This window comes from Homo sapiens, chromosome 4, assembly GCF_000001405.40.
Source record: "Homo sapiens chromosome 4, GRCh38.p14 Primary Assembly".
Lineage (NCBI taxonomy): Eukaryota > Metazoa > Chordata > Mammalia > Primates > Hominidae > Homo > Homo sapiens.
The window spans coordinates 99946120-99968209 of record NC_000004.12 but is presented as its reverse complement, the minus strand read 5'-3'; the positions used below and the strand labels follow the sequence as shown (position 1 = coordinate 99968209).

Below are 22090 nucleotides of genomic sequence, written 5' to 3'. Positions count from 1 at the left end.
AAATAAAATAAAAGTCATTTCTTGCTTTCAAGGCACTGTAAATCTGTAGGCTATTCAAAAATCTAAAATCATTCCAGAAAATATGAAAGTAATTTAGGAGCATTAGCAATTTAAAGTATATTAAAGAAAGCAGGGTACAAACCATATTCAATGATGCAGAATCAAGGGGAATAAGAGATCAATTTTGGAGATGGTGGCTCAGGGAATGTTCACTAAAGGAGAGTATTGAGCCATATTTTGAAGAAGTAAAGTGCAAAAATTGACAGCTATCTGAAGCACATTTCAGATAGAGGAAGCAACAAAAGCTTTGTAAACAAAAGCAGGTGATCAGGGAAACTATGGAGAAAACACATTGCTGAGCAACTGAAGGATAGGAGTGGGAGAGAGAATTTTCACTCTATACCACTTTTTTTAGCCTTTTAAATGTTGAAACATTGACAAGTTTAGCCTTTTCAAGAATCAATCAATTAATAAATAATGGCTTTTTAAATGGGAAAAGAATCATCTAGATTGAGACCATTAAAAAATGAAAAAATGAGAGTAAAGAGATACAGATGAGCCCATTATAAAAGTATTGAAAGTACTAGCAGTGCCCACAGGAATATAATCTATTTTCTCTACCATTCACCTGAAAAGACAGAATAACATTTTATCTAAATAAGACCTAACATCACCGTAGTGAAATGATCCTTAGCAGGCACAAAGTAAAAAACCAATGTGGGCCAGGCACAGTGGCTAACACCTGTAATCCCGACACTTTGGGATGCTGAGGCAGGTGGATTACTTGAGGTCAGGAGTTCGAGACCAGCCTGACCAACATGGTAAGAGCCCCATCTCTACTAAAAATACAATATTAGCCGAGCATGATGGTGCATGCCTGTATTCCCAGCTCCTTGGGAGGCTGAGGCAGGAGAATAGCTTGAACCTGAGAGGTAGAGGTTGCAGTGAGCCGAGATCGCGCCACTGCACTCCAGCCTGGACAAGAAGATCGAAACTCTGTCTCAAAACAAACAAACAAACAACAACAACAATGAAAAACAATGTGGAACTCTATCCTTGTGTGTCTAATTCTCCCACTGACAGAAATACTACAGCCAGACCAAATGTGTTTCTTGTTGCTGTTTATTAGGAGAAATTTTTGCTTTTGTTTTCAAAGTACTTTGTAGCCCTTAAGCCATTAATTACTTTAAAGAGATATTCATATTCTTTCATTTGGCCTCTTTTTCTAAAGAAAGGATAAGGAAAAAAGGTTATGTTTTCTTCAGTTCTCTCTTCATGACTCACAATTATGTTGTAAGAACAACTTTTCATTAACGCAGGATGTTTACGTGCCTTAAACAATTTCCAGAAAAGCTGAGTTCAAGTGCATAACAACACTGAATATTGGCTGCAAATTGAATTATAAATTACTCAGAACCATCTAAGTCACAGTTAATGTTGCCTGTGGCTTCTGAGTATAGTTCTCAATTTATCTGTAAGTTTTTGAAGAGGCGAAATTGTATTAGGTGCTGAAATTAAAACAAACAAACTTGATATATTAAAGATAGGGTATAAAACAGTAAAACTGGGGTGATTTTCTGCATTATAAAATTATTTCTTTACTCTGGTATCTTTTTAATGGAAATTTTCAGTGTAGTTAACTACACCTGAAGAGACAGAATAATAGTTTTTCTAAGTAAGACCTAATATCACTGTAGTAAAATGATCCTTAGCAGGAACAAAGTCAAAAACCAAAGTGGAACTCTATCCTTGTTGAGCAGATCTGATTCTCCTACCGATGGAAATATGTAAAGGCAGACCAAATGTGTTTCTTATTGCTGTTTATTAGGATAAATTTTGTAAATTATTTTTAATTCTTTTTAAAAATCAGTGTAAATAATTTTTCACTTTTGTAAAATGAAAATAGTCATGAAATATTGCCAGCATTCATTCTTCATGCTAATAATATTTTATCTTGGTATGATGCATTACAGTTAAAAAAGCACATGACTTAGCTCATGCAGTCTTCACAATAGTCCCATTCTGCCCAAGAGAAGTGGAATGCTCACATAGGTTGATTAGACCAACGTCTCTTAGCTGGGAAGCATAAATGTCAAATCCAGTTTGTTCTGAATTCAATTTTCCTCTTTTTTTCCACTGCTGCATCTTTGCCTCTTACCGTTTGTGTTTCATGTTCAAGTTCTCTGCATGTTATTTTAGTATAGCCCAACAAAACAAAATTTACAGTCAGAATATTTATATATGTAGATAAACTTAGCTGTTAAAGACAGCTCAGCACAACTTCAAACAATAAAGTATCGTTTATGTGGTGAAACCAGAGTGGCTAAGAAGCGAAGCTTGGTTTGTTTAAACAGGATATTGGGGTTGGTTTTTTTTTTTTTTAATTTAAGGGTAAAAACTATGATATGAAAAGGTCCCAAACAACGGCAAACTGATGACCACAAAGCAAAGTTTACCATTTTTTTCTTCCTACACAGAGACAGCATCTGCAGCAATTTCATTACCAATTTTTTCTTTTTGAACTCTACTGAAAATTTCAAATAAGTACTTAATTTCAATAATTATAAATATTTTGCCATATTGTTTATGCCTCCTGCATTAAAAAAATTTTTGGAGCATTTTAAAGCAAATTTCAGAAATCATTTTATATTAACCTTAAATATTTTAATGTGCTTTCTTTAAAAATAATAAAACAAAGGACATTTTCTTACATAAACAAATGCCATTGTTTTCTCTAACAGCATTAACAATAATTCCTTCATATTACCTAGTTCTAAATCTGTATTCAAATTTCCCCAATTATGTAAAACCTTAAAAAAACAACCACTACCACTAATTAGAGGTTTAATGACATCAGCTTCCAACCAAGGTTCACACATTTTACTGGGTTGTTCTATCTCACAATTCTTTTTAAATATCTCTTAATTTAGAACAGTTTTCTCCTCTTTTTTCTCCTTCCCTGAATTCTATTGCCTTATTGAAAAAAAACAGGTCAATTTTACACATTGTGGATATGGCTAATGCTTCTTTGCATTGTCTGCTTGGTGGCTTTTTATTTTCAGTGCCAAGAAATTAGTCCTGAAGACTTGAACAGATATGGGTTCAGTTTTTTTTTTTAAGAATACTTCATAGGTGGGGTTGTGTAGTTCATTTTCATGTTGATTACATCAAAAGGCATTTGGTTCATCTGGTTGTTTTAGTTTTACAATACTAAGATTGATGGTGGGGGGTAACAGCCATATTCCTTCATTGTAAATTTCCTAAACTTTCATCTAATGATTTTACAGCAGATTAATGACCTTTAAATGATTCATGTGAAGGTTTAAAAATTGAGATTTAAAAAAAATTCTATTAGTTCTTCTGCATTTATTAGCTGAGATTCTTTTGTTCAGAGAAATTTTTCTCATCAGTTAGTTCAGTATAAACTGAAACATAATTCATAGCATACAGACAGGATAAATGCTTATTTTTTCACCTTTATTTGTATCTATTTATTTGAGACAAGATCTCACTCTGTCACATGGCTCACTGCAGCCTCAACCTCTTTGGCTCAAGCAATCCTCCTGCCACCTCAGCCTCCAGAACAGCTGGGACCATGGGCAAGTGCCACTGTGCCCAGCTAATTTTTCTTTTTTAGAGAAGAGATCTCACTGTGTTGCCCAGGCTGATCTCTAACTCTTGGCCTCAAGCAATCCTCCTCTACAGCCTCCCTAAGGCGGGAGCCACTTTGCCTGGCCTACTTCTTCACCTTTAATTATCAGTCTTGAGATATGAGTAATGAGTTGGTGCTGTGGACACTTCCAACAGCATCCAGCAAATTTTTTTTTCTCTCTCCTCCTCTCTTTCTACCTTTTTCTTTCTCCTCCTCTGTCTTCTCTCTGAACTCTCTTCTCTTCAATTTGAACTCATTACTTTTTAAAAATTCAATAGGCTTGACTCAAACTTGTGTTCATTATTATTTTTGATGCTCAATGTATTCCATTTTGGCCAGTGAAAGAGTCTTCAAACTTGTTCTCTGTCTTCTCTCCCCTTCCATTCACTGTAATAATTTTTATTAATTTTTCATTTATTCATCCACTATTGTTGTTTTGTAAATATGACCATTTATGCAACATTTTATCCCTCACATAATTTACTACATACCATTTGCTGCACTTTATTTCTTTCACTTAATAATACATCCTGGAGATCACTCTGTATTTGTGTGTAAATATTTTCCTCATTACTTTTCAGTGCTCCATCCTACGTCATTGGGTCTATGTACCATATTTTTTTCACTAAGTTATCTATCAATGATCATATGATAATTCTTTCCAATCACTTGCTGTTGCAAACGCCACAATAAATAACCTTGTGAATAATTTTCTTCTTATTTTTGCAAAGCACAGTCTTTTTAAAAGTAAAGAATGATTAAAATAAGGGTTATTTAGGAGAAAATGTTTGCCGAAACTTCTTCTATTATATACTAATTAGCAAATGAGACTAGTGTCCTAATAATGAATTATTACATAGATATAAATCTCTTTAAAATGTCTTTACATTGATTGTGTTGTGATTGTAGACCAGGCATACTAGTTAGGGAAGGCTAACTACTATAACAAAAGAAAACAACAAAATTGTGATGGCTTAACATAATTTAAGTGTCAGTGTTCCTGATTGTCAGGTATCCTTTCATGTGTTCAATCTTGTGAATTTAACCTCTTCTGTGCTGTGGAGTCATATGTGTACAACTCTCAAATACAGAAAAAGAAGGCATAGGAGGCACACCTACTTTTTAAAAGCCTCCATGTTGAAATAACACATGTCACTTCTAGACACATTGACAAGAACCCATCACACGGCCACCCCTCATAGGAAGAAGAAATGGGTCTGGTGAACAGTGAGCCAGTCTCAGCCATTCAGGGCTTTGATTACCTACTTGATATTCTTCAGTGTTTTTCCCCAATGTTTATATACATATTTATAATCCATAATCCATAGGAAGATCATGTAAGTGCAATGGTGCCTTGTCCACTCAAAGTAGGTTTTGGAAATGTGAGAAGCAAATGGAGTGAGGAAGCTAATGACAGCTACAATTTTAAAAATGAATGGGCCAGGCACAATGGCTCACACCTGTAATCCCAGCACTTTGGGAGGCCAAAGTGGGCGGATCACCTGAGGTCAAGAGTTTGAGACCAGTCTGGCCAACATGACGAAACCCTGTCTCTAATAAAAACACAAAACTTAGCCAGGTGTGGTGGTGGGCACCTGTAATCCCAGCTACTCCGGAGGCTGAGGCAGGAGAATCGCTTGAACCTGGGAGGCAGAGGTTTCAGTGAGCTGAGATCACGCCATTGCACTCCAGCCTGGGCAACAAGAGCGAAACTCTGTCTCAAAAATAAAAAAAAGACTACATTTTTACATTAGCTATCATTCAAAACAAATTTCAGCATGTAGGGGTGACTTGGGGAGATTTGGCCACCTCCAAAATATGCAGTCTGAATAAAAATGTTGCTTGTTTATAACTGTAGTTTCAAGTTATGTCCCCAAGCATTGTAGGACAATCAAATTGCCACAGCCAACCAAGAACAGAGCTGCAATATTTCAGATACTAGTCATCTGGAATTTTCAACATGTCTTTGGAAATTTAACTATAGTTTGGACCAGGCGCGGTGGCTCACGCCTGTAATCCCAGCACTTTGGGAGGCCGAAGCAGGCGGATCACTTGAGGTCAGGAGTTTGAGACCAACCTGACCAACATGGTGAAACCTCATCTCCACAAAAATAGAAAAATTAGCCGGGCATGGTGGCAAGTGCCTGTAGTCTCAGCTACTTGGGAGGCTGAGGCAAAAGAATCGTTTGGACCCAGGAGGTGGAGGTTGCAGTGAGCTGAGATTGTGCCACTGCACTCCAGCCTGGGTGACAAAGCAAGACTCCATTTCAAAAAAAAAAAACAAACTATAGTTTGAACTATCCATAAAGAATGTTTATAAGCCAATTTAGAGAACACAAAATGTAGAAATTTTCAAACATATTATTTTTAAAATTCTTGAGCTTTGATAAATTTTCAAATAATGCTATTATAAATCTTTTTTTTTAAAAAGCAAATGTACTAGTATTTGTTCTTGACAACACTGATTAGCAGCTACTTGGAGTTTTATATATATTCATATGTAAAAGTATTATAAATTTGTTATATGTTTATATTTATACATCTCATATGTTTATACTCCATTTATGTTTAAGTGCAGTATAATTCATAATATTCATTAATTTGAGGAAGCACTTTCTGCAAATGAGTAGTTTTACTACATTGCAAAATCAGTGATGTGAAGCAAGTACTTCCACATTATAATATACAATAACACTTATTTACCAGACTTTCTCCTCTCCCTACATGTTTTGTAAAATTTCTGAATTGTCAGCTTAGCTGGGGAAAAAAGGGACTTGTTTTATTTTTGAGAATTAAGTTGAGTATACTGTTTTAATTTTAAAACAGGAAAAAAAAGGCTGGGCACGGTGGCTCATACCTGTAATCCCAGCATTTGGGGAGGCCGAGGCTGGAGGATCACGAGGTCAGGAGCTCGAGACCAGCCTTGCCAACGTGGTGAAATCCTGTCTCTACTAAAAATACAAAAATTAGCCAGGCGTGGTGGTGCCCACCTGTAATCCCAGCTACTTGGGAGGCTGAGGCAGGAGAATTGCTTGAACCCAGGAGGTGGAGATTGCAGTGAGCCAAGATCGTGCCACTGCACTCCAGCCTAAGATAGAGTGAGACTCTGTCTCAAAAAAAAAAAAAAAAAAGAAAAGAAAAGAAAAGAAAAAACTAAACAAAGAGCCAGCATGTAAATTTTTATATCTTGTGGTGAAATATGAGAAGTCCCCTGGACAGCTCTTGCCTAGAGATGTTGGACTAATCCATTAATGGAGGAAGAGATTGTCTCTATTTCCTGCTGAGAATCTGAGCAGTAGAGAAGGATTATGGAAGAAATGACTATTTCACAAACTATGAGGACAGTAGGAAACAATGAAAACAATATTCATCTAGAAAGAATGTCATTGATGTCTTAAAAGTTGTTCAATAATAGAGTTTACATATTTCATTAAAGACAAAGAAAATCACAGGTATGTAGAGACATAGGCACTAATTAAATCCTCTTCTGAGAAGTGTTTCATTTAGAAGTACAAAGTTACAGAAAGAGCATGGAGGACCTGAATCTGGTCATTGTATGTCTGAATGTCCCTTAAATCTATTTTTTCGTCTTTTAAAATAAAGATAAGCTCTGCTCATGTCTACCTTGGATGTTTTGAGATTGAAATGAATCCTCAGGAAGTCTTTTAGAGCAGTTGATCTTCAATATCATGTCTCAAATATCCTAAATCTGCTGACTCACTGATCATTATCTGATAACCATGTATCTATTCCTATGCACAAAAGCACTGCTCTTTTATTCTCTGCTTGGGCGCTAACAATATTAAATTCCAATAACAGTAATTCAATAACAATAGATACAATATTTACCAAGATAATTCTCAGATGCATTGACAGCTGTATTTGTTTCCACTAGGTTATGCTGTGCTAACCAATGACTTTAAGCTCCTCTACCCCCGCATTCCACTACAAAACAGAGTTGAGAAAGTCTAAGGGTGTAGAAAAGCCTTTATTTTAAAACATTTTATTTCAGTAGTTTTTGGGGAACAGGTGGTTTTTGGTTACATGAATAAGTTCCTTAATGGCAGTTTCTGAGATTTTAGTGTACCCGTCGCCCGAGCAGTGCCCACCAATGTATAGTATTTTATCCCTCACCCCCTCCAACCCTTCCCCAAGAGTCCCCAATGTCCATTATATTATTCTTACACCTTTGCATCCTCATAGCTTAGCTCCCATTTATAAGTGAGAACATATGATGCTTGGTTTTTTATTACTGAGTTACTTCACATGGTATAATTGCCTCCAGCTCCATCCAGGTTGCTGCGAATGCCATTATTTTGTTCCTTTTTATGGCTGAGTAGTATTTATAATATATATACATATACGATATTTTCCTTATCCACTTGTTGGTTGATGGTCATTTAGGAGGGTTTCATATTTCTGCAATTGTGAATTGTGCTGCTATAAACATGAATGTACATGTTTCTTTTTCACATATGACTCTTTTTCCTTTGGGTAGATACCCAGAAGTGGGATGGCTCAATCAAATGGCCATTCAAATTTTAGTTCTTTAGGGAATCTCCATACTGTTTTCCATAGTGATTGTACTAGTTAACATTCCCACCAGTAGCGTAAAAGAACTCCGTTTTCACAACATCCACACCAACAGCTGTTATTTTTTGATTTTTTAATTATGGCCATTCTTGCAGGAGTGAGGTGGTATCTCATTGTGGTTGCAATTTGCATTTCCCTGATAATTAGTGATGTTGAGCATTTTTTCATATGTTTGTTGACTGTTTCTATATCTTCTTTTGAGAATTGCCTATTCATGTCTTTTGATTATTTGGTTTTTTTCTTGGTGATTTGTTTGAGTTCCTTGTAGATCCTGGATATTAGTCCTTTTGTCAGATGCATAGTTTACAAATATTTTTTCCCACTATGTGGGTTGTCTGTTTACTCTGCTGACTATTTCTTTTGCTATGCAAAAGCTTTTTAGTTTAATTAGGTCCCATTTATATATTTTTGTTTATGTTGCATTTGCTTTTGGGTACTTAGCCATGAATTCTTTACCTAAGACAATGTCTAGAAGAGTTTTCTAATGTTATCTTCTAGAAATTTTATGGTTTCAGGTCTTAGATTTAACTATTTGATCCATCATAAGTTGATCTTTTTTATAAGGTGAGAGATGAGGACCCAGTTTCATTTTTCTACATGTGGCTTGCCAGTTATCTCAGGATTATTTATTGAAAGAAAAGCCTTTGGACTCTTCTCTGAGCCATTTCCATCCTATTGAAAGGACTGGGGAGTCACATACATCTGTTTTGGGATTTTAATAAAAGGTGTGATGGTCACACTTTTTATACGGTTCCTGCCCTGAGGCTGAATCTGTGGAGGGGTGTGAAGTATATGTTGTATAACTTTACACTCTATTTTGTGGCGCCTCTCTTTTAGGACAAATGTGGCACTTAGATTCCCTTTAAGAAAGCTGTATGGAATTTCAAACATAAGGAATTTAGCCCATGAGTTTTTCTCAGTTATGATTCTTTTGTAACATTGGGCACAAGAAATGTACATAACAACCAAGAGTTTTGGTAATACCCAATTTAGTGACAGAATCCATGTCAACATTTCATCTTTGGTGAACAGTCAAGTATCACAGATCAAAAACAGGTTTGAAGTTCATTATGCAAAGCTAGCAATACACATGCAGAAATGTGAACACCATCTTGTTAGATGTTATAACTAAAGAGAGTTTTCTAGTTTAGTGTAAAGTTGTTGTGCCCACTGTGAAATCACACTTTACTTTTCTAGGTCTTTTTCTTTGGCTGCCTTTTAATTTTCTTTCTTTTATTTTTAATTCAAAATTTTTATTTATTTATTTTTTTTATTTTATTATACTTTTAAGTTCTAGAGTACAAGTGCACAATGCGTAGGTTTGTTACATATGTATACATGTGCCATGTTGGTGTGCTGCATCCATTAACTCGTCATTTACATTAGGTATTTCTCTTAATGCTATCCCTCCCGCCTCCCCCAGTGTGTGATGTTCCCTGCCCTGTGTCCAATTGTTCTCACTGTTCAATTCCCACCTATGAGTGAGAACATGCAGTGTTTGATTTTCTGTCCTTTCGATAGTTTGCTGAGAATGATGGTTTCCAGCTTCATCCATGTCCCCAAAAAGGACATGAGCTCATCCTTTTTTATGGCTGCATAGTATTCCATGGTGTATATGTGCCACATTTTCTTAATCCAGTCTATCATTGATGGGCATTTGGGTTGGTTCCAACTCTTTGCTATTGTGAATAGTGCTGCAATGAACATATGTGTGCATGTGTCTTTATAGTAGCATGATTTATAATCCTTTGGGTATATACCCAGTAATGGGATGGCTGGGTCAAATGGTATTTCTAGTTCTAGATCCTTGAGTAATTGCCACACTGTCTTCCACAATGATTGAACTAGTTTACAGTCCCACCAACAGTGTAAAAGTGTTCCTATTTCTCCACATCCTCTCCAGCATCTGCTGTTTCCTGACTTTTTAATGATTGCTTTCTCTTATTGCCAACATACTTAGTAGGAAATTCCACTTGGATTCCCCTAATGTCAATGTACAGTCAATATTTCATAACTTTCCTGACTTACCTCTTTCTCTACCCCTCTTAATTTGCATCTATCCTTTTACCTCTCCTATTCTATAGATGATCTTTTACTTTATATCCCAGACCACCAACCTCAAAAACCTGGCTCTTTTCTCTTAAGTGCTTAGTATCCACCATCCCCCCTACATCTTCCTAAACAGCATATTTAATAACAAAATATTAGTGCTTTTTCTTTCAAGATGTTTTACAACCTTCTCTTGGTTTCAGTGTTATGTAAGTTTTAGGCTGTATTAGTCTGTTTTCATGCTGCTAATAAAGACACACCTGAGACTGGGCAATTTACAAAAGAAAGAGGTTTAATTGGACTTACATTTCCACGTGGCTGGGGAAGCCTCACAATCATGGCAGAAGGCAAGGAGGTACAAGTCCCATCTTACATGGATGGCAGCAGGCAAAGAGAGAATGAGTTTGTGCAGGAAAACTCCTGTTTTTAAAACCATCAGATCTCGGCCAGATGTGGTGGCTCACACCTGTAATCCCAGCATTTTGGGAGGCTGAGGCAGGCGGATCACCTGAGGTCAGGAGTTTGAGACCAGCCTGGCCAACATGATGAAACCCCATCTTTACTAAAAATACAAAAAAAGAAAAAAAAAAAAGCTGGGTGTGGTGGTGCACGCCTGTAGTCCCAGCTACTCTGGGAAGCTGAGGCTTGAACTTGGGAGGCAGAGGTTGCAGTAAGCTGAGATCGTGCCACTGCATTCCAGGCTGGGTGACAGAGGGAGACTCTTTCTCAAAAAAAGCAAAACATAACAAAACAATGAAACCATCAGATCTCGTGAGTCTTATTCACTGTCATGAGAACATCACATGAAAGAGTTGCCCCCATGATTCAATTACTTCCCACTTGGTACCTCCCACAACACATGGGAATTCAAGATGAGATTTGGGTGGGGACACAGCAAAACTGTATCATAGGCTTTATACCTAACTGATATCAACTTTATCAGCCTTCTAACAAAATTTTTCTCTTTTCTGATTTGCCCTGTAACCCATATTAGATTAGTATCCTAAAAATGAGGAACCCTGTATTCTTTCTTTCTCAGAAATATTAATTGGTTCCTCAGTCTCTCAGGGTAAAGTCTGCTATCTTTCTCCAAGTATTTAGGGTATTGACTCATTATAATAGTTAGGATTGGGTTCAGCTGCAAGTGAAAGATGACCCAAAATAAAAGGGGCTCAAACAAAATAGATGCCCATGTTCAGAGAGATCCAGGGTAGGTTTGAGACTCCATAGTATCTAAGGCCTTTGCTCCATTTATCTTGTTATTCCCTCATGTGTGGCCTATATTCCTAAGCTCATTTCATGGTTCAAGATGGCTCTCCAATTCTGTCTTCAATCCAGTCAGCAAAAATAAAAAATTGGTTTGCCTCATTTAAGGAAACTTCCTGGATGTTGCACCCACCACTGAAGTTTACACCTTTTGGTCAAAACTTATTTTCAAGACCAAATTTAGCTTTATTCTGATGAACATTAGCTATGGTTGGAATGTTTTTGTCCCCTTCAAAAATTATGCTATAACTTAGTTCACAATGCAAAAGTGTTGGCAGGTGTGGCCATTGGGAGGAGATTGAGTCATGGGACCACCCTCATGATTGAGATTAGGTGCCCTCATAAAAGGGCTTCATGGAGAGGGTTCATCCCTTTTCAACTTTCTTTGCCTTCCACAATGTAAGGACACAGTGTTCTCCACTCTAGAAGATACAACATCAAGGCTCCATCTTCGAAGGAGAGAGCAGCCCTCAACCAGACAGCCAAACCTGCCACTGCTTTGATCTTGGACTTCCCAGCCCCTAAAACTGTAAGAAATAAATTTCTGTTCTTTATAAACTATGCAGTCTCAGGTATTTCATCACAGTAGCACGAAACAGACTAAAACACTATGTGTCCTACCTTCTAAGTGCTACTTCTTACACCAATTCACCATTCCAATCAAACACTCTCCTTAGTCCATTTAAACGTAAACTCTTCAAAACGCTCCAGCTTGCAACTGTCTCTGTCCTTTAAACTAGAGGTACTGTTGATTTGGCAGCCAATCAGATACTTATTTTGTAACAGCCTTATTTATTTATTTATTTATTTAGATGCAGAGTCTCGCTCTGTCACTCAGGCTGGGGTGCAGTTGCATGATCTCCATTCACTGCAACCTTCGCCTCCTGGCTTCCAGCAATTCTCATGCCTCAGTCTCCCAAGTAGCTGGGACTTACAGGCATGCACCACCATGCTCAGTTAATTTTTGTATTTTTAATAGAGACAGGGTTTCGCCATGTTGGCCAGGCTGGTCTCCAACCCCTTGCCTCAAGCAATCCACCCACCTCGGCCTCCCAAAGTGCTGGGATTACAGGCGGAAACCACCACACCCAGCCTGTAACAGCCTTCTTAATGTGGTTTTAATGATTAAGACATTGTTTGAATTTTCCTCCCTGTTTAATCTTCTTAGCTAGATTGAGGGAAGCTCCTAAGCACTACATATCCCATCTCCCAACTGCTATTCTTGGTGTATTGCCTGGAAAGTAGAATGACTTGATGGCTATGCTCTATTTTACCTAACAGGCTGACAGCACCAATCTAGTGCTATCATATATTCTATTATTAGGGAATGGTTATGTATCATGCGGTATAATGTATGGTATTGCCTTCCATCTCAGTTGCATATATACAGACAAAAGAAGACAATACAGTAATAAAAATGTGTCAAATCTCTACAACAATTTCCTTGGTCACTATGTTAGAAATATGCAATAGGGGCATTACTGTATTTACAATTTAGCTGTGGAGATAAGTGTCACAAAAATACTAATACAATCATCCCTCTGTATCTGTGGGGGACTGGTTCTAAGATCTGTCCCCACACCCCACCGCTTGGATACCCAAATTCATGAATGCTCAATCCCTTCCATAAAATGGCATAGTATTTGCATATAACCTATGCAGATTGTATGCTTTCGATCATCTCTAGATTACTTATAATATCCATTACAATGCCTATGCTATGTAAATAGTTGGTACACTATGTGGTTTAGGAAATTACAGGAAAAAATGTCTGTATATGTTTAGTACAGATGCAACCATACTTTTTAAAATTAGAAAGTCAGGGCCTTGCTTTATTACCCAGGCTGGAGTGCAGTGGTGTGATCATGGCTTACTGCAGCCTTGAACTTCTAGGCTCAAGGGATCCTCCTGCCTCAGGCTCCCTAGTAGCTGGGAGTACAGGTGTGTACCACCATGCCCGGCTAATTGAAAAAAAAAATTTTTAGAGACAGGGCCTTGCTATGTTGCCCAGGCTGGTCTTGAATTTCTGGCTTCATGGGATCCTTTTACCTCAGCCTCCCAAATTGTTGGGATTACAGGGATGAACTGCCACACCCCAAATGCAGCTTATTATTATTATTTTTTCTTGAGACCAAGTCTCACTCTGTCACTCAGGCTGGAGTGCAGTGGCATGATCTCTGCTCACTTCAGCCTCTGCCTCCCAAGTTCATGCGATTCTCCTGCCTCAGCCTCCTGAGAAGCTGGGATTACAGGTGCATGCCACCACACATGGCTAATTTCTGTAGTTTTATTAGAGACAGGGTTTCACCATGTTGGCCAGGTTGGTCTCAAACTCCTGGCCTCAAGTGATCCACCCGCCTCAGCCTCCCAAAGTGATGGGATTATAGGTGTGAGCCACGGCGCCTGGCCACACCCAGCTTACGTTGTGAATATTTTTGATCCTCAGTTGGTTGAATCCATAGATGTAGAACACAGGAATACAGAGAAGGAGGACCCACTGCCTAGGCAAATACACTATTATTTAGGAAAAAAATTTCAACACATGGACTCCCTTCCCCTGCCCTGAAAATCCTAAAGATCGATATTGATATCAATAATAGATAATAAAAGGATATGATAAGAATCTTGATTTTTTAATTTTAAAACAATAAATTTCCAAAAATTCTGAGGACTAATGTATGGAAAAAGTAAATTAGTGCTATATTAAAAGCATGATCTTTTGTTTTCCTGAAATGGCAGTGGATCTGGGTGGAGTAGATTCTGCTGATCTTTGTCATCTATTCCCTGCATTTGTGAATTGTTACCTGTGTGCAATCTGTGATCATGAGAAGTGCAAAGCTGGGCAATTTGGAATTTAAATCGATGGCTTTGGTTTTATCAACACTGAATTAAACACATAGGCTTCTCAACCTAAACAGAATTCAGGAAGGACTATGGCCTCGGTGCCAAAAATATTATTACATCACTCTACATATTCTTCGCACTTAACGAAACTCTTTCACAATTCTATCAAGTTGGTTTATCTGGTGTTACGAATCCCTATTTAATAAATGAAACTGTGCCTCAGTGTTTTACATACTTCAGGCCATATAGCAAGTAAGTGGCTACCCAAACTCAACCCTCATTCTTTTACTCTAGTTCAATATTTTGCATAATACCACACTGGAACTCAGTTATTCACAGCTGTGTGAATCCTTGAAGGCACATATTTTTCCTAGGTGCCCTAGGTAGAGAGAACCAAGATTCTAATGTAGATTTCCTGATGAAAAGAATTTTGCCGCCATTATCGATCTAGGCTAATATCCTTGGAAATAACTTGAGAACTTATTCATATTTTCTTAAAAATACGTTTTTAAGGCAAGATGTAGTTGAGAAATTTATAATTCCCAATTGTAAGACTCTCAAATTCTCTACATAAAAAGACAAGAACAATAGTAGTTAACATACATGCTAGTGTTTCAAAGGAGATAGCAACTAGTCATGGAAAATCTGGCTTAGTTAGGAAAAGGCTATTAAGGAAAGTGTCAATAATAGTGGGTTCGCCTACCTCATCTGAGGATTTTTTGTTGTTTTTTCGAGACAGGATCTCAGTTTATCACACAGGCTGGAATTCAGTGGCACAATCATGGCTCACTGCAACCATGGGCTCAAGTGGTCCTTCCACCTCAGCCTCCCGAGTAGATGGGACCACAGGCAGGGGCCACCATGCCTTGCTAATTTTTGTATTTTTAGTAGAGATGGGGTCTCGCTATGTTGCCCAGCCTGGTCTTTAACACCTGGGCTGAAGTGATCCTCTTGCCTTGGCATCTCATATTTTTTTATGGTGAGAGAACTAATTGGGTATGGCATTAAACAAAAGTAATTACATAGCTCTGGCTAAGTACATTATATACATGCATTACTATTAACACAGGAACTGGAAAGATAAACCAACAATATTAACATATTTGCATCATACCTTTTCTGGGGGGGGCAGGAAAAAGAGTAGGAAATCATCATACCACTCTGAGAAAAGTGCAGAAAGTAATACTGTCCTGTTCTCTGAAGGAAAATTATTGAGTTATTAAACCAATTTTGGATTTTAGTTTGGATGTTGGAAGACTTGGTTGTGTATACTTTGGGCAGGTTTCAAGCTTGCTGCTTCCAAATCGAAGAAAGAAAATAAACCAAATAGCAAAAAAGATTTAGAAATAAAAGATACTTTATTTCATCCCTCTCCAGCATCCAATGTAGAAAATAATAGCAGTTATTTACTGAGGGCTAACTACGTGCCAAACACATGCTACTATGTACATTGCATACCTTTTTCCTTAATCTTTCAACCATGTGAAAATAGATGATACTATCTTTTCACAGAATAGGAACTCGAAGCTCAGAAAGATTAGTAACTAAGATGACACAGTGAGGAGGAGGCAGAACAGAATCCATCTGTACTTGCTTCTGAGTTCATCCTCCTAACCACTATTCAGCGAGGCAACAGTAAATTCCCTTTATGGGGCTTCATAGCAAAGAGCTGGCAGAGTATTATCTAAACTAGAGATGGCATTAATGTTGGTTTTTTATATATCACAAAGCTTCCCTGGAGCCATCGTTAACTATCAGGTTTCATAGCTTAATATATCATTATTATATTATCAGTAGGAAAACGGCTGAAGTCTTGCTATCGACGACATCATAAGAGTTCCTTGGTTCCAAGAAATAATAAACCTCAATGTCAAAATTGTTGGGAAGCTCTTCTCTAGAATTTATCTCACAGAAATTGGGAGGTCCTCTAATTCGATAAAATCTTTCAAATTGAAACCCAATCTAAAGTACTTCAGAGTATATGTTTGTTGTTGTTGTTGTTGAGAAAGTCTCGCTCTGTTCCCCAGGCTGAGTGCAGTGGCGCAATCTTGACTCACCACAACCGCCGCCTCCCGGGTTCAAGCAATTCTCCTGCCTCAGCCTCCAGAGTAGCTGGGATTACAGGCGGGCGCCACCATGCCTGGCTAATTTTTGTATTTTTAGTAGAGATGGGGTGTCACCATGTTGGCCAGGCTGGTCTTGAACTCCTGACCTCGTAATCTGCCCGCTTCGGCCTCCCAAAGTGCTGGGATTACAGGTGTGAGCCACCATGCCCAGCATAGAGTATATGTTTCAAAATGTTCGTCACATTGAAACTATTCAATTATGTTAAAAAATGTAATACACTAAAACACTGCAAATGAGATTGAGACACTACTGTCCCCAAGCAGCTGGAGATGTACATAGGTGTTAATAACCTACTAGTTGGAAGGATAGTACTGTGTGTACAGTACCATTACTTTAACCTCATCATTTGCAACTGATTGCATTGCATGGACCCTCTAACTGCCTGAAAATCATGTCAGAGTTACTCCATCGACATTTGCCGAACATTTGTCATGTGGCAAAATACTTACTGTAGAAAAGTTGACACATAATAGCTCTGAGGTTTCACTAAATGAGCTTTACACACCAGGCTACAGGTACAACCCATTGATGTGTAGTCTCCAAAAAATATGGTTTATGATTTGATTAAAGAATACTGCCTCGCCAGAAGCTCCCTAAGTATAGACAAAAAGGGTTTCGTGACCAGTGAGGTGACTTGGCTTCACCGTTTGCTGTCACAGAACTATTCCGTGGAGGATTTCATAAGTAGTGAGGGAGAGGTGGAAGACCCGGCTGAAAATAAAGTGGGAGCAGCGGGTCGTGATCTGTTGGTGGCTGGGGACTCGCCTAGACGGAAGAAACACGGAATCTCTACTAAGGCTGTGGAAGGCGTCAGGGCAAACCTCAGACTCCTCTCACTGGACGCGTTCGCGCCACCTGTCAGACGGGAGGAGCCGCCAGGGATTGAGAGGGTAGGGAAGGGGTGTCCGGGGCCCCGGAAAGCGGCTGCGGGTCGCAGGTCTCCGCCCGAGAGGCGCTGGGAATGGGGCTGGGAGTGGTGGGGGCGGCGTGCTACATACCGAGGAGACTTCACGTGGTCTCTAGAGCCCTGCTAGGGGACCCGGGACGCTACCGCGCGCCCCTCCCCTGAGGTCTCAGCTCCTCCTCCCAGGCACGTGATCGCAGCCGGCTGGTAACTGCGCTCCTGCAGCGTAGCTCGCTCTGTTTCTTCCCTCCCGCCGCGGTGCCCTTCTTCTCCCCCGTTCCCATCCCTCCGCCTTCCCCCGCCTCTCCCCCCACGCCCCAATCGCGGCTTGAGATTAGAAGCGCCCGCCCCTCCACCCTTTTCTTCGCTTGCTCATTGGCTGAAGTCTCAAGGACGCGTCCCGAGGGCGGGTGGCAGCCATTGGTGGGATGAGCAATCCGAGTTCCCGGATGAGGGAACATTCTGCAGTATAAAGGGAGCAGGGAAGGCGGGAGACAGCGCAGTTTGAATCGCGGTGCGACGAAGGAGTAGGTGGTGGGATCTCACCGTGGGTCCGATTAGCCTTTTCTCTGCCTTGCTTGCTTGAGCTTCAGCGGAATTCGAAATGGTAAACTTCGCAGAGACGCTCGATGACTCCGCGGGTTTTTGCCGGCGAGAGAAAAACCCGTTACACAGAGGGATGGGGGTGAAGTGGCGACGGTTGGGAACGCGCGGAGACAGGATTTAGAAGAGTGGGGGGAGGTGTTTTGTCGGCTGCTAGCGGAGCAGCCTCGGATCTCGCGGCGGGCGGCGACGGTTGGGTGGCGCGCGCAGCGCCGCTGGGGGCCGGCGGGCGGAGGCGCGCGGCCGTGGCGAGCGCGCGGCGGGGGGCGAACGGGCGGGGTCGCCCCTGCGGCGCGCCGCGGGCCGGAGACCCCGGCAGGGTGCGGGGACGCGCTCGCGGCGGGACGCGCCGCGGTGGGGGATGGGCGCGCCGCCTTGGTAATTCTATATTCTCCGTTCCTCCTCCGCTCGCGGGCGTGTGCGCGCCGCAGGCTGGCGGTAAGGCTGGAAAGGACTCCGGAAAGGCCAAGACAAAGGCGGTTTCCCGCTCGCAGAGAGCCGGCTTGCAGGTCAGTAGTTGTTCGTGCAGTCTGGGAGTCATGATGTTTTTCTTTGCATTTCCTTTTTTGTTATTCATCGCTCTCGATGGGCGTTTTGTGTATGCGTGGGTGATGCGGTGTCGCGACTTGGGCTGCCCATACGATAAATATGGGGGGGAGGAATCACGTGTTTCGATGTCGGGACGCGTTGCTGCGCCCGTGCCCCTTGCTTTGGCGCGCATATAATTTCCCCATCTCTAGTTCTCATTTTTGTGCATTTATGTTTGTGTATGCTTAAAATTTAAGTTCCCAGTGGGCCGTATTCATCGACACCTAAAATCTAGGACGACCAGTCATGGACGTGTGGGCGCGACTGCCGCTGTGTACAGCGCAGCCATCCTGGAGTACCTCACCGCAGAGGTAAATGGGTGAACGCCTATAATCCGGAGAAGGTTTGGGGGGCGGGGAGGCGGCAAGAGGGAAGGAGGAAAGTGATGCAAGAAAACTCCCAGGCCCTGAACGCGGCGAGAGGCCTAAGAGAACGCTAGAGGGAGCTGGTGTTCAACAAGGATCCTACTGAGCTTGAGTTCTCTGCTCTTGGAATTAAAATTGCGTGCCCCCTGTATATCTTGCCAGTCAGATAGTGAGGAACGATTCCAGTTGGTAGATCTGCGTTTGTGAGGGTTTTATTCTGTTCTCTGAATCTTGGCCAAAGGAAAGTTGGAAGGCAACTGACAGATTCTGCCTTTTAGGTACTTGAACTGGCAGGAAATGCATCAAAAGACTTAAAGGTAAAGCGTATTACCCCTCGTCACTTGCAACTTGCTATTCGTGGAGATGAAGAATTGGATTCTCTCATCAAGGCTACAATTGCTGGTGGTGGTATGTTAACTTCTAACATTTTAAAAAATTTCTTCAGAGGAAGGAATTTTTTGCTGCTTTTAATTAGTTTTTCCAGGAGAGGAAATTTAAGTATATTTTCAATGATGGAAGTATGGTTGTATCATGAAATTTGATTTATATGTATAACTCAATGAATTTTTACTTCATACTTGAGCTGCATGTTTTTAAAGATACCTTTCAAGTTGAACAGTATACACTTTCTTGGTTTCAAATACTGTGATTTTTTAAAAAATCTTAAGTAGAATTAATTCCTGTCACTCTCCTAGGTGTCATTCCACACATCCACAAATCTCTGATTGGGAAGAAAGGACAACAGAAGACTGTCTAAAGGATGCCTGGATTCCTTGTTATCTCAGGACTCTAAATACTCTAACAGCTGTCCAGTGTTGGTGATTCCAGTGGACTGTATCTCTGTGAAAAACACAATTTTGCCTTTTTGTAATTCTATTTGAGCAAGTTGGAAGTTTAATTAGCTTTCCAACCAACCAAATTTCTGCATTCGAGTCTTAACCATATTTAAGTGTTACTGTGGCTTCAAAGAAGCTATTGATTCTGAAGTAGTGGGTTTTGATTGAGTTGACTGTTTTTAAAAAACTGTTTGGATTTTAATTGTGATGCAGAAGTTATAGTAACAAACATTTGGTTTTGTACAGACATTATTTCCACTCTGGTGGATAAGTTCAATAAAGGTCATATCCCAAACTAGTTGTGTATTAAATTTGCTTGGTTGTAATAGGAACTTGTTTTGAGTATCTCATCTAGCAGCAATAACTAAGCACATTTCTTTGTGACTGAACTGTCAAATCTGTAGATCAACAAAGTGAGATAGCCCAAGTATATTTTTTTAATGTTATATGAGCTACTAAAGTTTTAATTTAAAAAGTTGGCAGGAGCTGGAGTGGGATTGTCAGTTTCTTAGGCTAAGTGTGACCATTTCAGTTTGTACATTGGCTTCGCTTGCTGTGTGACAGCACTGCACTAGTATGCTGTTAGCATGGTGGACTTGGGGAGGGAGAGAATAGGTAGGAATGTCCTGTATATCCACAGAATGAACTCCGAATTTAAACTTTAAAGATAATAGTGCTACGTGCCAGGCCCTGCTTTGAAGTCTGAAGTTGTTAAGTACTCAGTAACATCATTGGGGATATACTATCTCCATTTTATCGAAGAGAAGCAGGGTTTCTTATTTGAAAGTACCGAGTTATGGTAGTTAGCAGAATTAACAGCTTGGCTCACAGCATTATGTAAAAATTGTTACCTTGTGGTTGGGTTGAGCAGGTCATTTTGACAGTTTGTCATGTTTTTTTTTAAAAAATTTGCACATAGCAAACATTCCCCCCACCCCCACCGCGAAGACTAACAAGACACGGTACTTCCAAGTGGTAATGTTATCCAAATGGGACGGAAAAGGTGAAATCAAAAGTTTGCTTTCGTTAGGGCAGCCCCTGAGGGGCTGATTCCTGCCTTGTTTTGGCTACACAGGATTAAGGTCGATCTGCACCACTCGTTGCAAGCTACAAATTAAACTGCTTTGTACTTTGGATAGCCAGACATCCGGGTCAGAAAAAATGTAGCTGAAATAAGGCTGCCATACAAGCCCTAAGATTAGGTTCAAACGACGCTCTAACGTGTCCCGGAAGTGCTGAGACTGGACTGACACCTTGGTCCTCACCTGACCGCATCCTCCCTCGCTTGAGGGGCCCAGAGGCGGAACCTCCAAGTCCTGGCAATTTTACTGAAAACGAGTGTCCCCTTCCCGGACCCTGTCCTCCTGGCCTGAGCTGCGAGGGCCTCGCCTGGAGGTCACAGGGCACGGCGCTACCAATGCCGGCAATCGGGTCCCGGGCGGAACCCCTCCCCGCGATGGGCAGCCCGGCTGCTATCGTCCGCCTCCCGGGCAGGTCCGCTTCGAGCCTGCTGGCGCCGTGCGCGGACCACCGAGTCAGCTCGGACGCCCCGGCCCAGGAGGTTGGTCCTGGGCCGGGACGGATGCGGATCGCGCCCTAGGGGCCCGCGGGGGGCGGGGAGGCCGCCGTGAGGAGGCGGAGCTGCGAGGCCCGCCCGTCCGCCCGGGCCGTCGCAGCCGCTGCCGCGGTCCCCTGCGCTCCTCCCCGCTGCCGCCGCACGCCCCCAGCCGGTCCCGCCTCGCCTCCTCCGCGGCGGCGGCTTCCGCCCTTCTTAGCTGCGCTGCCGGAGGAAACGGAAGAAGGAGCAAGCTATGGAGGGGAACAGGGATGAGGCTGAGAAATGTGTCGAGATCGCCCGGGAGGCCCTGAACGCCGGCAACCGCGAGAAGGCCCAGCGCTTCCTGCAGAAGGCCGAGAAGCTCTACCCACTGCCCTCGGCCCGCGGTGAGACCTCAGCGTCCCTTCTCTTCCTGCCCAATCCCCAGACCACCGCGTAGCCCGCCCCTGCCCCCACCTCGGCCCCTCCTGGAGGCCTGCGGGGCCCCCGGCCTGTCTGAGCCAGCCCCAGCCCCAGGCCCGGTGGGGAGCATCCCGACACACCCCCGCCCTGGCCCCAGCCCCGGCTCCGGGCTGGGGCTCGGGGAATGCTGCGCGAGGTTCCTCTGCACCCGCCTGCCCGCCGGCTCCGCGTTCCGCTGTCCTAAATGTCCGGGTTTCATTCTCCCTGGAGGAGACTTGTCTGGTCCCGTCTTACCACAGTGAG

The 22090-nt window shown here is 41.5% G+C and overlaps 2 protein-coding genes and 1 long non-coding RNA gene across 7 annotated transcripts in view, besides 10 other annotated features; 2 read left to right on the top strand and 1 right to left on the bottom strand.

Moving 5' to 3' along the window:
• Nucleotides 1–17716, bottom strand: part of H2AZ1-DT (H2AZ1 divergent transcript) — an 87212-nt gene extending 69496 nt beyond the window's left edge. The window contains exon 1 of the long non-coding RNA NR_125923.1: nt 17530–17716. This is a non-coding gene — a long non-coding RNA (H2AZ1 divergent transcript). The remainder of the gene's footprint in view (nt 1–17529) is intronic.
• Nucleotides 17345–17554: a silencer, noted in NCBI's record as "silent region_15588". NCBI's record gives its function as "represses an Ori minimal core promoter by ATAC-STARR-seq in GM12878 lymphoblastoid cells {active_cell/tissue: GM12878}" and the evidence as "EXISTENCE:reporter gene assay evidence [ECO:0000049][PMID:35858748]".
• Nucleotides 17345–18104: a biological region, named in NCBI's record as "H3K27ac hESC enhancer GRCh37_chr4:100871297-100871901".
• Nucleotides 17466–18070: an enhancer, noted in NCBI's record as "H3K27ac hESC enhancer chr4:100871297-100871901 (GRCh37/hg19 assembly coordinates)". NCBI's record gives its function as "activates a minimal SCP1, AML or CMV promoter by ChIP-STARR-seq in primed H9 embryonic stem cells {active_cell/tissue: H9 hESC(primed)}" and the evidence as "EXISTENCE:reporter gene assay evidence [ECO:0000049][PMID:30033119]".
• Nucleotides 17595–17644: a silencer, noted in NCBI's record as "silent region_15587". NCBI's record gives its function as "represses an Ori minimal core promoter by ATAC-STARR-seq in GM12878 lymphoblastoid cells {active_cell/tissue: GM12878}" and the evidence as "EXISTENCE:reporter gene assay evidence [ECO:0000049][PMID:35858748]".
• H2AZ1 (H2A.Z variant histone 1) lies at nt 17935–20122 on the top strand. The gene is made up of 5 exons (NM_002106.4): nt 17935–18042; nt 18470–18547; nt 18824–18937; nt 19270–19399; nt 19687–20122. The coding sequence occupies exons 1-5, from the start codon at nt 18040–18042 to the stop codon at nt 19746–19748; spliced, it is 387 nt and encodes a 128-aa protein (NP_002097.1). The 5' UTR covers nt 17935–18039; the 3' UTR covers nt 19749–20122.
• Nucleotides 18015–18104: an enhancer, noted in NCBI's record as "active region_21744". NCBI's record gives its function as "activates an Ori minimal core promoter by ATAC-STARR-seq in GM12878 lymphoblastoid cells {active_cell/tissue: GM12878}" and the evidence as "EXISTENCE:reporter gene assay evidence [ECO:0000049][PMID:35858748]".
• Nucleotides 18305–18354: a silencer, noted in NCBI's record as "silent region_15586". NCBI's record gives its function as "represses an Ori minimal core promoter by ATAC-STARR-seq in GM12878 lymphoblastoid cells {active_cell/tissue: GM12878}" and the evidence as "EXISTENCE:reporter gene assay evidence [ECO:0000049][PMID:35858748]".
• Nucleotides 18435–18524: a silencer, noted in NCBI's record as "silent region_15585". NCBI's record gives its function as "represses an Ori minimal core promoter by ATAC-STARR-seq in GM12878 lymphoblastoid cells {active_cell/tissue: GM12878}" and the evidence as "EXISTENCE:reporter gene assay evidence [ECO:0000049][PMID:35858748]".
• Nucleotides 18676–19281: an enhancer, noted in NCBI's record as "NANOG-H3K27ac-H3K4me1 hESC enhancer chr4:100870086-100870691 (GRCh37/hg19 assembly coordinates)". NCBI's record gives its function as "activates a minimal SCP1, AML or CMV promoter by ChIP-STARR-seq in naive and primed H9 embryonic stem cells {active_cell/tissue: H9 hESC(naive and primed)}" and the evidence as "EXISTENCE:reporter gene assay evidence [ECO:0000049][PMID:30033119]".
• Nucleotides 19145–19194: an enhancer, noted in NCBI's record as "active region_21743". NCBI's record gives its function as "activates an Ori minimal core promoter by ATAC-STARR-seq in GM12878 lymphoblastoid cells {active_cell/tissue: GM12878}" and the evidence as "EXISTENCE:reporter gene assay evidence [ECO:0000049][PMID:35858748]".
• Nucleotides 21329–21988: a silencer, noted in NCBI's record as "silent region_15584". NCBI's record gives its function as "represses an Ori minimal core promoter by ATAC-STARR-seq in GM12878 lymphoblastoid cells {active_cell/tissue: GM12878}" and the evidence as "EXISTENCE:reporter gene assay evidence [ECO:0000049][PMID:35858748]".
• Nucleotides 21592–22090, top strand: part of DNAJB14 (DnaJ heat shock protein family (Hsp40) member B14) — a 50371-nt gene continuing 49872 nt past the window's right edge. For all 5 annotated transcript variants that reach the window (XR_938772.3, NM_001278310.2, NM_001031723.4 and 2 more), the window contains exon 1: nt 21592–21771. Coding sequence is in view for 4 of the 5 variants with exons in the window: in NM_001031723.4 (NP_001026893.1) it covers nt 21639–21771 (133 nt within the window). In the remaining variant the exon portion in view is untranslated. The remainder of the gene's footprint in view (nt 21772–22090) is intronic.

Excerpts from the sequence above, each read along its gene's own strand:
- H2AZ1 (NM_002106.4), top strand. Across the intron at positions 18,548-18,823 it reads CGCAGAGAGCCGGCTTGCAG|TTCCCAGTGGGCCGTATTCA; the intron begins GTCAGTAGTTGT and ends TTAAAATTTAAG. Across the intron at positions 18,938-19,269 it reads TGGAGTACCTCACCGCAGAG|GTACTTGAACTGGCAGGAAA; the intron begins GTAAATGGGTGA and ends TCTGCCTTTTAG.